The sequence below is a fragment of the Homo sapiens genome, chromosome 6 (assembly GCF_000001405.40).
Source record: "Homo sapiens chromosome 6, GRCh38.p14 Primary Assembly".
Taxonomy (NCBI): Eukaryota; Metazoa; Chordata; class Mammalia; order Primates; family Hominidae; genus Homo; species Homo sapiens.
Window position 1 is genome coordinate 167,286,959 of NC_000006.12, and position 14,382 is coordinate 167,301,340.

The window sequence follows — 14,382 nt, forward strand, 5'->3', positions numbered from 1 at the left end:
CAGAGCAAGACTCTGTCTCAAAAAAAAAAAAAAAAAAAAAAAAAAATTCCAGCATAATCAGCACTTTCTGCCCCTCATCCAGGCTTAGAAGACATGTAAGTGGTTGGCTCTCGGCTGTACAATCACAGCCCGGCTTCCTCGGCTATCCAATCACAGCCGTATTTGGCTCTCAGCTGTCCAATCATAGCCATACTTGGCCCTCAGCTGTCCAATCACAGCCCGGCTTCCTCCACTGCTCGCTGCACTCAGCTGGATCTTTTCCACCCAAAGTGCCACTTGCTCCAGTTTGCAGGGTTCATAGAAACGGCTGCTGAGCTGCAGACCTGGTGATGCTTGGGTCCAGCCGAGCTGCTCTCTCCAAAGCTGGACACTGCTCTGCCGCCCGTGTGGAGATGGGGTGTGGATAGCGTGTGTACCACCCCATACTCCCTATCGTCCCACCTGCTCTAGTTTTGGGATCGCACTTCTTCTCTCCATGGGAATTTCAGTTCTCTATTTTGCTTAGTTGTTCACTGTTTGGTTCCTCCACTAGAACTAGGCTTCTGTGAGAATGGAGACCCCTGGCCCTTTTATCAGTGTGGTACCCCAGTACATTAGGAAGGATGCCTGGCCCAGGGTAGACGCTCAATAAATAGTGTGGACGACTGTAGAAGTGGGTGCTGTATCCCAGGCTGCAGAGGGCTCATGGGAAAGGAAAAGGACCTACGAACTTGGAAAATAAAAAGGGTGTGTGTGTGTGTGCATGTGTGTGCATATGTGTGTGTGTGCATGCGTGTGTGCATGCGTGTGTGTGTGTGTGTGCACTGTGCACATGAGTGTGTTCTGAACCAGGACCTACACGATCCCCCTGACTATGAGAGTGGAACAGGCCAGATTCTCCGCACTCGGGCTCACCTAGCGTTGCCGCCCTGACAGGGAGAGTGGAAGACGGTGATCAATCACAGAGCTGCTGCTCTCCTTCATTCTGGTGCAAAATGAGGGTGCCTTAGCCCAATCAGATGCTGTTGTTCAGGGACCCTGCAGGCCCTTGACGGTCTTGGCTGGGTGGTCAGGCCACTCACATGTCCCAGGTGGAGACGTGGGCTGAGAGAAAGACCCAGAATCCCAGGACATCACCAGCAGCTTTAACCACACCGTGGAAGCTGGGAGGATTCACAAATGGTGTGAGGATGGGAGTATTTCCAGCCAGGCTTGCCACACGATGGGTCTCTGCCCTCTCTGATAAGTAATGGAAATTAGCTAAGGGTCTTGGCTGAGGGCCTGACATAGCCAACTGGCCCCAAAGCTTTTTCTCTGATTGGCTCTCTGGGTTCTCCTTGGCCGAGGAAGAAGCCAGAGCCCCGAATGCCCGCTCAGCTCAGGAGGTGGCCTGTCTAGCCAGGGGAAGGCGGAGTGGTCAGCCCCCGCCAAGATTTAAGATGCTTTGGAACATTTGCTAAGAGAAAATACTCTCTCAAGCCATGGTTGTGTTAGCACAAATTGTTCTTCCTTACACACACACACACACACACACACACACACACACACACAGCATGAGTACATTTATTTCCAAAGTGTGAAATTCCCTAAAGTAGCCAAGAACTCATTCTACTCCCTATAGATACCTTCTTCATCTTTATGTGGATAAAAAGATGTAAGATACATTTGAGTTTATTTGGTATTGCTTTTATTAACAAAGATTTCAGATGTAAATGTCAAGAAAATTGATATTAATTTGCTTACATGAGTACATTCCTTAAAAAAGCAAACCATTGGGTAGACTTCCCTTAAATTAATCTTTAGATTCTTGGCAGGAAGTTTGGTGATTTACAAGGTGATTCTACAGCATGAAGAACGCATGGCGCCTGTGGTGAACTCAGCCGTAGCAAAACGGTGCCATCTAGTGGCTGGTGAAGTCTCGGTTTTCCGGAACACGCGTGCTCTGAGCTTTGTATCACCCAGGGCATCTGTCATTTTAACGTCCAATGAGTGACCTGCAGATTCGAGCAGATCTACAGAACCACCTCTTTTCTCAAGCTGATAGAGCCCAGATGTTAATTTTAAGGACTGAAGTGGCTATTGACACCTTTTAAATCCTTTACACGTACCCGTCTTTGGCCTTTGGCAGGTCAGCCCTGGGCCAGGCCATGGCTCCAGTGCACACACAGAGCTCATAACGCCAAAACCAGCTCTGAGAGCCAAGCCAGCTCTGGGTTTCTAGAGGTTGCACTCTCTTCCCTCAGGCAACTCCATGTCTGCAGGAATGTGTAGGCTGCGGGAAGGCAGCCTCAGGGGTCGGGTAAGATAAGAGTGTCCCTTTGTTTATGACGAGACCACTGGGGGACCATGTCTAAGACCTGCCCTGGTCACAGGAACACTGAGGGGTGCTGGGAATTATCTCCTCTAAGAGAAGCATTTTATTCTGCTACAGAGAAAAGGCAGAGAGTGAAATATACTGTTCATTTAAAAAAAATCCCTTTTAACATAGATAAAGGGGAGGAACTGGGAGGAAAAGAGAGAAAAAGCAGACGTAACTGAAGCCATGGTTTCAGAAATTCAATCCTAGTAGAAGTGCTGGAGGGACAGGGAGGGTGTGGCTGGGAAGGATGGAAACAGACCAGGTTTATTTGTGCACAAAGGGAAGCTCCTTAGAAGGCATAGGCTGGTGAAGGGGAGGGGAAGAGCAGCCTCTGGAAACAGCCCCCAGAGCCAGAGAGCGAGTCCTAGAGGATGGGGCTGGTGAGTTGAAGCAACCAAGGGAGAAAGACCAGCAGACAGTGCAATAAAACATCAGGAAGGTCCTCTAATATCAAAATACAGGTCATCCATGGGAACTAATGAGAGGCCAGAACTGAAGTAAACTAAAGTGTTGCCAAAAAATAAAAATAAGGTCCAAGTTGATTGATCGATAACACGGTTAGTATGAAGAAGTCCACATTATGCTAATTTCTTTACATATTATTCTAATTTGTATTGTCTCTGAAAGTCAAAATATCATCTTAGTCAATTAACATTTATTGGTGATAACATTTATTGGTGAAGTTGAACCATATATGTATCTTGAAGTTAACATTTTTGCTATATATCGGGTGCTGTTCTAGGGGCTTTCAAAATTATCCAAGTCTTGAACTTTTGCAACCCTCCTTTTTAAAGAGGAAACAGGTTCGGTGACTCAGTGACCCACCTGAGATCACCTAGCTAACAAATTACAGGATTAGGGTGTGAACCCGTGGAGCTCATCTGTTTCCATGCTCAGAATCCCTTTGCTAGACTGCGTGGCTCTTATGTCTATGTAAGCATGATAGTCCATGTTTAGTTAATATAAAAAGCTATTGTTTTCATAAAACTTTCATTTTCACTGAAATACATTAAGTGACAAGAACTTTACCCCATTTATCATTGGCCCTGATCTTCTGATGGTCTGGCAAGCTTCCCTGAGTAGTGTTGCCAGGATGCTAGACTTACCTGCGAGATTTGCCTTATAGATCTAATCTAGACAGAAATGGCTGACTTCACAGAACTTTGGAAACAATCTGCAGACATCAAGTTTTACTTATAATTGAATAAAAATAATTTTTCTTGCTTATTAGCTATGACATTTGTGGTAAGTTGCTTAAAGCTCCAGACTTACCCCGTCTAATACAGTTGTCTCTAGCCACATGTGGTTAAATTTTAATTGTAATTAACTAAAAGGAGATGCAGTTGTGAACTCATTTTATCAGTTGCACTTGCCACATTTCAGAACTCAATAGTCACATGTGGCGAGTGGCTACCATACTGGACAACACTGCCCCAGACCAAAATACCAAATCATTTAACTTTTCTGAAGCTGTTTCCTGTCTTATAATGGGTCTAAGATTTCTAATGATCATTAGCATAGCACTATTGTTGGTAACATGAAATAATGCATGAAATTCTTTGCATATTGTAAAGTACTATACTCATGTAAGTTGTTTTTTCTTTTAATAATTGCTGTACTGTGTTGTGAAACTGTACAGTCTTTGCAATACTAAGACTTTGGCCCCAGGATCTTACAATCACGTTAGCTCTTTTTCAGAAGTTGAACTATGTGTCTTGAAGTTGACATTTATGCTTTGTTCTTTAAGACTGAAGTCCTCATTCTGCACCACTGACAACTTCTGACAGTTTCTCTTACTGTGGAAGGTTCTATTCTATATACACATAAAAAGTGAAACATATCACTTTACCATCTGGACCATGTCTATTAGAATTTAATAGGAAAAAAGCGCAATTAACTAGAAGCTGGTAAGAGTAATGATCTTTTGCCCCATACAAAGTGGACATTGTGGATCACAGAGAAGGTAAATGAGTAACAGAGCTCCCGTATGCTTCATGGGGTCAGTGATAACCAAGTTCATTAACGAGTGACAGTCTTAATGACTAACACACCTCTAACATTTCACCTCTAGCTCAGATGAGAGAGAGAATGGGACTTCTTGGTACTGATTGTTTTTCCCATGCCTCAATTGGTTTCTTTTAGGGAGCTACAAATTTACGTGTTCACTGGTGATTGATCTTTTCATCCAGCACAATGGACAGAAGTCTAAGGAACGTCCTTGTGGTTTCCTTTGGGTTCCTGCTTCTCTTTACAGCCTATGGAGGTCTGCAGAGCCTGCAGGTATGTGTGTCCGGTCATCAAATTACCTGAACTTCTTGGCCTCCAAGAATCCCTGTGGTCACAGACAATAATGAATTGGAAATTTGAAAAATCTAATTCACCTGGTGTTTCTTTTTCACTCTGTACCAAATCCTCTAAAACAAACAGTGGTTCTCAGATGCAGTCCTACAGTGAGCAGTTCCCACTCACGTCTCAATAGGATTGCACAACAGCGAGGTGCACGTTGCTCTTGGACAAGGACAGCAGGGGTCTTGGGACTGTGATTTGTTGGGACATTCTTTGCCTTTGGGTGGTTAAAAGGAGACACAGGAAAAGTCATTGTGAATTCTATGATTGATTGGATGCCCTTGGCTTTGTGGTTAGGGGCAGCCATGTGAATTTATCAAATGTCACTAGACCTTATACATTCCAAGCCTACTCTAAGCTAAACTGTGAACTTTGACAACATGATCTCTCTATACTTTGAACTCCTTATGGCATGCTCTCCTCCATAGTTCCGTGAGCCCATGAAAAAGCCAAACGGCATTCTCCGAAAGGCTGCAGCATTCATCATGTGCACCTAGACATAGACCTGACACATTTTCCCAAGCTGGTTACATTTCAAGTCTGATCTTTACCTGGATTCCAGTCTGAATTCCAGGGAATTCCAAGGGCTGGTCAGGAAGCAGGGCTATTGTTACTCCCCCGGCTTATTCATTGCCACAGTGTTGTACCCTGTGGCCTGGTGTGGTCACATAAAACATTTCAGAGCTTCTGATGACAAATTAGTGTGGTCTTACATGGTTCGTCAATGAAGAATAAGAATTGGGCACCTACTGTGTGCATAGTATGGAACCAGAAAAGCACACCTGGGAACTCAGAATCCGAGGTTTCTCCTCTCACTGTTGTTGTGCAAACACTTGGGACTCCTGGGTTGCCAAGGAAGCTGGAATTCAGTCCTGAATTCTCAAGTAATGTTTCCTTTTGCTGAACTCCTATCTGGTTCTATTTCTGATCAGGCTTACAGAGGATAAAATGGCAGCCAACAGTGACTCTCAAAGTCAAGTGGAAGGGAACACAGTCTCTTTTCTTGCCGCAATGGTTCATTACTTTTGGAGTCCCTGCTTTGCCCAGAACTTTGTGTTGTTGTCACAGAATGCTGGTGTGAGTGAAATGCCTGTTGGGTTGAGGTGAGTGCATGTTGAATGTGGTTGGTGTGCACTTTCTGGAAGGAGGGAGTCTCAAGGATGTGGACTGGTCAGTAGCCCTTTCTCTTTAGAAAGCTCACCTGCCTGCAGAAGGAGACCCTGCTGTCCTCCTGGCACAGCAGCTCCCCTGGGGTCAGCATTCCTAGGAACCGACAGCTCCCCTGGGGTCAGCATTCCTAGGAACCAGTTCTGGTGGATCCGCTGTGGCTCAGCCACTGTCTGAAAATTGGCCTCTGGACTTGGAAGCCAGAGGAAGGGGGCTGGAGGGGGCTGGGAGCTGCCAGGGGTCCCTCCTCTCAGGCTGTGACGGCAGGACCCAAGGCTGTGGGCAAATGCGGGCAGACAACCCTTTGCCTCTTCAGCCCCAGTTTGGGGGTGCCTCATTGGGGAATCACTCATGGTGGCATCTGGATGAGCTCCGCAGCTGTGAGCAGCTGCCTGGGGAGTAGATTGTCCCACGCCCCGCCAGCACTTCCCACTCCTCCTGGGCTGGTGGAAGTGGGAGCTGCTGTCTCATGATGTCAGCCCTTCCTTCTCAAAAGACTGGAGATGCAGGGGAGCCAGACCTCCCTCTCTGCAGGGCCCCAGGACTGTGGAAGGGTCCCCTCCACTCCAGCTCCACCCTGGTTCGAGGCCCCACCCGGGCCTATTGTCGGCAGCTGACCTTGAGCATGCGGACGTGCTTTAACCCTCTAACTGGGACAGCTGTCTCTGCTACTCAGGACTGGCATGGGCAACACAGAGTGTTCAGATAGAAGTGACTCAGGATTGGTTTTGCCCCAGCATGCTGAGGAGCCGAGCCCACCTCTCTCCAAGAACCCCAAGGCTACTATGGGGTTGGCTTCGCTCTCAGGCCCCAACAAGGCACATGCATCCCCAGGCTCCCTCCTCAGAGCTCAGCAGCCCCAGTGAGAAGACAGGGCCTCATTCCAGAGAGTTCTCCTGAGTCCTCACCCTGGTCTGGACTAGGTCCCCTCGTCCAAGGACAAAGGACGCTCTTTTGTGGCACCTCCCCCTGTAGCCACCACCTCCTTTCACCCTTTCTGGCTGCAGGCCTCCAAGTTCTCATTCAGCTCTCAACTTGGAGGTCACCTCCTTCTCCCCACCCTGCCCTGGAGCTGAGGTCTGGATGGGGCACCCAGCACCCTCGTGGCGGTGTGTGCCTGCCCGGGTTGTCTCCACCAGTGGTGGCGGCCTGCAGTTTCCAGGATACGAGGGCCACGTCCCTGGTCCATTCTCAAACCTTAGACAGTGACGGGCACTCGGAGGCGGGCGATGGATATTTGGTGAAGGAAGAAATCATTCATGTGCACTCAGCTGCTTCATATCCTTCGGGCCTCCCCATGGGCTGAAGGACCCCTTACATTCCCTGGGAGCACGCAGGCTCCTCACAGATGAGTTCTGGCAGAGTCTCCAGCCCCATCCTGTCACACTGTCCTGTTCTCAGCTGAGATTCAGGCAGGTGTCCACAGAGGCGTGAGCGGCTCTCACAGCCATCCAGCCCCGGCGCAAGCACTCACAGGGGTGCCGGGCCTTCACTCCCTGATGTTTAGACACACTAACTGCTTTATTCCGAATTCACCTGCACTTTTCTCCCACCAGCTTCAGAGGAGGCTCCCAGGGCAGCAAGCCTGTGGCTGGCGGTTCCTGGGAGCTGTGGCGGCCTCCAGCCTGGGGGACACTGAGGACCTGCTGGTGCCTCATCCCGCTGTGTCCATCCTGTGCTCTGACAGGGCTGGCTTTGTTCCCACAGAGCAGCCTGTACAGCGAGGAGGGCCTGGGTGTCACAGCGCTCAGCACCCTCTATGGAGGCATGCTCCTGTCCTCCATGTTCCTCCCACCGCTCCTCATCGAGAGGCTGGGCTGCAAGGGGACCATCATCCTCTCCATGTGTGGCTACGTGGCCTTCTCCGTGGGCAACTTCTTCGCCAGCTGGTACGCAGCCACCACCCCCTGCCCACCCCACCCCGGCCGTTCCCCACGCTAGGGACGTTCACTCTGCACATGAGTTGCATTTGCACCTGATTACTGTTCACTGCAGGCATTTTAAAATGAGCTCTCCTGCCCCTGCACCCCCGCCTCGCTTTGGTGACAGACGGTGCTGGGCTTCCTTCCTGTTTTCCCACCAAGGCTCCTCTGTGCCCCCCACTGCTTCTGTCTCCTCCTCCCGATCCCCGATGCTGGCCTCTCCCTGGGATCCGTCCTGGTCCTCAGCTCCCCTGGCTGGGCGAGGGTTCCAGTAACACAGGGGACTCTAACTGCAATGCAGATGGTGAGTCTCGTGGGCACCTAGGCAGATGTCACCAATGGACCGAAAGCTGCACCTCGCCCACCATTAGGAGGTGGGTATGGCCAGGGCAGGTCACAGGGATGGGAGGCCACCCTGCTCCCTGGTGAGATGGACCACAGAGACTGAGCTCTGAGGGCTTTGGCCTGCACCCCAGGCCCCGGGAACACAGCCATGGAGCATCTCTTCCAGGGACCCTGGTTGTGCCAGGACATGCTGCTGATGATGGCTGCAAGTCCTTCTTCCCGGTAGCTGCAGAGTCTTACATGGCATGCCGCCGCTGAGGCCCGAGCCGGTCACTAGGTCTTTTTAACCGGGGCTGTCCCTCGGCCTCCCTCGTGCTCCTCGCCTCCCTCGTGCTCCTCGCCTCCCTCGTGATCCTCGGCCTCCCTCGTGCTCCTCGCCTCCCTCGTGCTCCTCGCCTCCCTCGTGAACCTCGCCTCCCTCGTGATCCTCGCCTGCCTCGTGCTCCTCGCCTGCCTCGTGCTCCTCGCCTCCCTCGTGCTCCTCGCCTCCCTCGTGATCCTCGCCTGCCTCGTGCTCCTCGCCTCCCTCGTGCTCCTCGCCTCCCTCGTGCTCCTCGCCTGCCTCGTGCTCCTCGCCTCCCTCGTGATCCTCGCCTGCCTCGTGCTCCTCGCCTGCCTCGTGCTCCTCGCCTCCCTCGTGCTCCTCGCCTTCCTCGTGCTCCTCGCCTCCCTCGTGCTCCTCACCTTGTTGTTTGCAATCGCATCCGATACAAGGAGCCTCACTGGCTTCAATTTCACTTTTGCAAATCAGTCCAAGCTAGGAAATGCACTGATATTGCTCATTTTTCTGAGTGTAATGGTGAATCCATCCATCCAACCAGCAACACTCATCACCACGCTTGCAATGGGCCAGGCGGTGGTTCCTTCTCCCAGATTGACTAAAGAACTGCAGGGACATGGGTGCAATGGGCTTGCGTCTCCTGTTACAGGCTATGGGTCTGCATTTTACCCACAGGTACACTTTGATCCCCACCTCCATACTGCTGGGACTCGGGGCCGCCCCGCTGTGGTCTGCACAGTGCACATACCTCACGATCACGGGAAACACACATGCAGAGAAGGCGGGAAAGCGTGGCAAAGACATGGTGAACCAGTATTTTGGCATCTTCTTCCTCATATTCCAGTCATCCGGTGTGTGGGGCAACTTGATCTCATCGCTGGTATTTGGCCAGACTCCCAGCCAAGGTAAAAGGAAAAGGGGCAAGCAATTGTCTCCAAGTGGAGCAGGGGTTTCAGTGATGGGGGAGAGGGTTCCTGATTTCAGTTGCACACCTGCCTTGATTCTGTAACTTGAGCAGGTGAGTCAGGCCCCACAGGTGAGATTCTCAACCTGCCTGTGCTTCAGAGTTGCCTGTTACCTGCTGTCTTCTGGACAGTCGGGTGGGACTGAAGAAGATCTGCGTCTTCCACAGGTGCCTCCGCAGGGGCAGGGGAGCCCTTGGGAGAGGGCGCCATGGGAAACTGAGGGCCACGCCAGTAGAATTTGTGTTCATGGAGTCTCAACTGCACAACTGTCCTTTTTAGACTAAGGATGGGGTTGCCTGATTTCTTTTCCCTGTGACTTGATACAATGACCAGATTTTCAAATGTTTTATGACAGGCCCCTTATCCCATGACAGATGTGGACATTGGATGGGCTGATGCCCTGGCTCCTCTGTCTCTACCCGACCTTGCCCTGGTATAAATATAAAGTGCATATCTCATTTGTGCCCATGACCTTAGTGCCCACGTTGAGGCTTTAAGCACAGGGCAGAGGACATACATCTCTTTCATGCTTACAGGAAAACTTTCCCAACGGGGTAAAAACCAATCCAGCCCTCCTGACTAGTATCACAACTATTTCTATCACTTCATCAAGGTTCTCCATCTTGCTATCCCATAAAAATCCCACGCTTGGTAAACTCTGTAGCCAAAACCCCTCTCCCTTTTTCTCATGCGATGTCATGCCTGCTAAGTGCATTTGAAGAAGGGAAGCCGTGAAGGTGATGCATAGCAATTTTTACTCATTATTGCTGTTGGTGTCAGCAACAATGAAACAGAAACTGGGGTTACAGCTCAGTCTGCATATCACGGCCAGTGAAGTGGAGGAACAGGCATTTCTTTCGAAGACCTTTCTGCAGGTGAGTTAGTTCTCCAAGTCAGCACAGGACACAGAATCTGGGGCTGGAGGGATTTGGAGGGCGTCGTGTGCTTCTCCACCTTCTTGTACCTTCTCTTATCAGCTGCACATCTCACCCACCTAGAAGATTTTGTGAAGCTGTCTGTTATATAATTTGTGTTATTAAAATAATAAAAACACTGAATATTCTTTCTCCCACCACATCTTTCTCCTTTCCCCAGAGATTCTGACAGGACTTCTGACTGAGAGTCATTGCTAATTCAAATTGTATTTTTCTAAGAGATCACAGAACTAACGTTAGTTTTCAAAAACAGAAAAGTTATGAAATCACCTGCCCAAAGTCATTGAGTTGGTAACAGATGAATCTGAAAGAGAATCCAGCATTCCTGGCACCCAATCTCATGTACTTTTTTCTTTTTGACTAATTTTGAAAACTTGAAAAATTTTAATTATGTCAGAAAAGCAGTAAAACAAGTAACCAGCACTTTTCCAAGTTCATTCTTCCCTGAATCTTTGCAGAACACGAATAGGATTTTCCACCTCCCAAAGTGTCTTAAATCGAGTCTAGGGACATGTGCCTAGACTCGATCTAAATCTATTTTGAGACACTGGGTCTTTCCACGTGACCTGTAGTGATGCCTCCCCCCAGGTGTCCAATGTCCTTTCCACTGTCACTTTGATTTCTCAAGAACCTACATCTTGTCACATTTGCCGTCATCTCATGTCTCCTGTCCACTCTGACTTCATAGAGACCCTTCCAGAAGAGCAGCTCACGTCCTGTGGGGCCAGTGACTGCCTGATGGCCACCACAACCACCAACAGCACCCAGAGGCCCTCCCAGCAGCTGGTCTACACCCTCCTGGGCATCTACACTGGTACGAGCTCCATCGGCCCAGGGCAGGGTCCCTAGCAAAGCAGAGCCAAGCCTCCTTCCTGGGCTGACAAAGACTGTCTCTCCCAATGTAAAAGTAATCTCTCTTCTTCTGAAATATCCTTGCAAAATGTATTGGTCTGGATTATATGCAGGCGGTGTTCTTATGAATCAAATGCAGTACACCCGTGCTGTCTAACAGAGGATCCTGGGGTGATGAGATTGTTATACATCTCCAGAGCCCAACACAGCAGCCATTAAGCACTGTGGTTGTTTACATCTTAACTGATTAAAGTTTCAGTTCCTAAGTCTCCCAGCCACACTGCAAGTGCTCAGCAGTACGGGGGCTGGCGGCTACCATTACAGACAGCTTGGTGGCTGGCTAGGGCACTGGGATTGACTGTTTGTGTTTCAGCTGTGGCCAAGGGGCCCTGAACATCCATAATTGCTATAAGCCACTTTTTTTTTTTTTTCTGAGAAATGTGCTGAGTACCTTCTGTGGAAAGGCTAGAGGGGCGAGTGCTCCCAAGTGCTTGTTGCACCTTAGCTGGAGACGTTGCAAGCTCATGGTGAAAGGGCTGCCCAAAGGAAGTTAATTGTCATGACGAGGCTCATTCTTAGAAGTTCATTTTAATAGAGAATGTTATGTAATAGTTTCATATGTGACTTCAGTGTTATAGTCAAAGGTTTATTACAACTTTGAAGGGGATACATTTAGAGAGTTTTAAAAACCATTTTGTAAATAATTTAAATATTTTTTTTTTTGGCTGGGCATGGTGGCTCACACCTGTAATCTCAGCACTTTGGGAGGCTGAGGCGGGCAGATCACTTGAGGTCAGGAGTTCGAGACCAGCCTGGCCAACATGGTGAAACCCCATTTGCACTAAAAATACAAAAATTAGCTGAGCGAGCATGGTGGCATATGCCTGTTATCCCAGCTACTCGGGGGGCTGAGGCAGGAGAATCACTTGAACCCGGGAGGTGGAGGTTGCAGTGAGCCAAGATCGCGCTGCTGCACTCCAGCCTGGGCAACAGAGCGAGACTCCATCTCAAAAAAAAAAAAATACACACACACACACACACACATATTTATATATGCATGTACATATACATATACACGTATATATTTCTATATGTATATATATATATATATATTCTTTGTCATTCTTGGATTTGGGGATTCATAAAGGCCTTGGAATGGGTCCTTCTTAAAGATCAAAGGCCTGGCACCTGTGAGCTCTGGGGGTACCAACTCCTGCACTCTGCCGGGGTCAGAGGTGAGGAGGGTTCGTGGGCACTGCAGAGCTTTTCCTCATGCTGAGATGATGTGCGGCACCAACCTCAGGTCCCCTCAGGCCACTTCCACATCAGAGGCTCTGAGTGAGCACTTGTAAAGCTATCGCTGGAAGTCGACAAAGTGTACTGAGCACGTGCTAGGCCATGCTAGGCCTTCTTGGTCCAGACATTCAGATGACTAGAAGCTCGCCTTTAGTAAGCTGAGAGCCTAGTGAAGGAGGCAGACACACACCCAACTAACCGAGACCAGTCCGACAGTGTTCTGAGCACAGTTCCCAGCTGACTTGCAGCTGCATCTCCCTGGAGCACGGAGTTTCAGGAAAGCCTCCAAGGGCGGGTGGTCCCTAAGCCGAGTCTGGACAATGAGCAAGATTTGGCCAGGCAGGGAAGTGATGCTGAAGTCCCTGGAGGCGAGATGTCCAGGAAGAGCCCGCAGGGCTGGGGGCAAGGTGGAGGGGCAGAAATGGGGCACAAGACTAGCTGTGGCCCTTGATGTTGTGCCAAAGGGTCTGGACGAGTGCAGACTTGCCTTCTTGACAGACCCCATGCCAGCGTGACTTAGAGGTGCAGAGAGACAGCGGGCAGAGACCCACTGAGGACGGAGTGCTGAGTCCAGAGGAGGGAGCAGGTACGGGGAGGCAGAGATGGAGGGGCTGAGAGAGAGGCCAGCAGGGTCCGTGTGGGTTGGACATGGTGTGGGGAAGAGAAGACAGCCCTGGGGTTGACAGGAAGATGAGCTCAGGCCGGGAACACCTGGCTTGAGGACGCAGTGGGACTCTTGCATAGTGTCCAGTGGGCAGTCTGACGCCGTGCAGGGCTCAGGCCAGAGGCCAATGCAAGTGTGGACGTGGAGGCATCTTCCAACATGGTGACTGGAATCATGTCAGGGATGAGGCTCTTAGGGAGAAAAAGCAGAGGGAATTGTTACAGAGAAGGGAGTATAGCTGGACCCCTGGTTCAGCAACACTGAGGGCCAGGCAGACAACTGGAGCCTTGGAAGGAGACAGAAAACCAAACCAGGGTCTTGGAGGACACCAGGGTTGTAGAATCAGCTGGGGAGGGGGTTTGAGAGTGTTGAGTGTGGCAGGGCCCCTAGGAGGCTCAGGGGGGAGGCTGGACGAGGCTCTTAGCCAGTGAGAGGCTGTTGATGCCCATCAGGCGAGCAACCTGGGGAGGGTGCTCGTGTGCAAGGCCCAGACTGAGGGTTTCAGAAGTGAGTGGAAGGTGTGGACAGGGAGTCAGGAGGAGCCACGGTTTTCTCTGGTCTGCAAGTCTCTGCTGACTTGGAATTGTGGTCATGTTTTCCCAGCAGGCCCCAAGGTTCCCATCAACATGGTCCCAGGGACCAGCCAGGCCTGTGCTTCCCCAACACTTCCCCTCACCACCTCCTCTACATAACTAGGAGGCTGGGGGACTCGGGGACATTGAGCTGAGTCAAGACCATCAGGTCTCCTTCCAGCTCCACAAATTCCAGTTAGGCAGCCACCAACAAAGACTTCTCCTATCTATAAAAGAACAGAATTTTGGAGTGGGGGCTGCAGCCTTCCTCTGTGAAGGGCTGACAGCAAATATTCCTACATGTAAGTATCTTTCTGAGGATCATATGGTCCTTGTTGCAATTGTTCAACATTGTCTTTGTAATGGGAAAAAGCCATAGACAACATGTAAGCAAATGAGCATGCCTGCATGCCAATAAAACTTTATTTTCAAAAGCAGGCAGTGGGCAGGCTTTGGCCCGCAGGCCATAGTTTGCTGGCCCCTGCTCTAGAGGAACAGCACAGGCTTCTCTGTGGCTTCCAGGCCCTTCATTGCCAGCTGTCCTCCGCAGGTGGCTGTTGTCTGTGGAACCTCCCCTGCAGGGTTACCCCCAGTGTGCTCTCTGGCCACAGCCCCATCTCGGTTCACGGAATCCCGCAGCCTAAGGGAGTCCAAGTCTAGAAGTTATGTAGAGCAGAGATCACACACATGTAAATGAAGA

At 50.1% G+C, this 14,382-nt stretch overlaps 1 protein-coding gene across 8 annotated transcripts in view, besides 3 other annotated features; it reads left to right on the forward strand.

Moving 5' to 3' along the window:
- The window catches only part of UNC93A (unc-93 homolog A), a 46,983-nt gene that overhangs the window by 17,927 nt on the left and 14,674 nt on the right, over positions 1–14,382 (forward strand). For 5 of the 8 annotated variants that reach the window (XM_017010958.1, XM_011535908.3, XM_011535906.3 and 2 more), the window contains 4 exons: positions 4,481–4,618; positions 7,559–7,740; positions 9,074–9,303; positions 10,987–11,112. In XM_017010958.1, the coding sequence (XP_016866447.1) occupies positions 4,532–4,618; positions 7,559–7,740; positions 9,074–9,303; positions 10,987–11,112 (625 nt within the window). In that variant the 5' untranslated portion in view covers positions 4,481–4,531. Of the gene's footprint in view, positions 1–4,356; positions 4,619–7,558; positions 7,741–9,073; positions 9,304–10,986; positions 11,113–14,382 lie in introns of those variants that run through there. The other 3 variants (NM_018974.4, XM_047418901.1, NM_001143947.2) reach the window with 3 other exon arrangements.
- Positions 581–1,089: an enhancer, noted in NCBI's record as "H3K27ac-H3K4me1 hESC enhancer chr6:167701027-167701535 (GRCh37/hg19 assembly coordinates)". NCBI's record gives its function as "activates a minimal SCP1, AML or CMV promoter by ChIP-STARR-seq in naive H9 embryonic stem cells {active_cell/tissue: H9 hESC(naive)}" and the evidence as "EXISTENCE:reporter gene assay evidence [ECO:0000049][PMID:30033119]".
- Positions 1,663–1,957: an enhancer, noted in NCBI's record as "tiled region #7476; HepG2 Activating DNase unmatched - State 5:Enh". NCBI's record gives its function as "activates a minimal TATA promoter and a strong SV40 promoter by Sharpr-MPRA in HepG2 cells {active_cell/tissue: HepG2}" and the evidence as "EXISTENCE:reporter gene assay evidence [ECO:0000049][PMID:27701403]".
- Positions 6,619–7,520: an enhancer, noted in NCBI's record as "H3K4me1 hESC enhancer chr6:167707065-167707966 (GRCh37/hg19 assembly coordinates)". NCBI's record gives its function as "activates a minimal SCP1, AML or CMV promoter by ChIP-STARR-seq in naive and primed H9 embryonic stem cells {active_cell/tissue: H9 hESC(naive and primed)}" and the evidence as "EXISTENCE:reporter gene assay evidence [ECO:0000049][PMID:30033119]".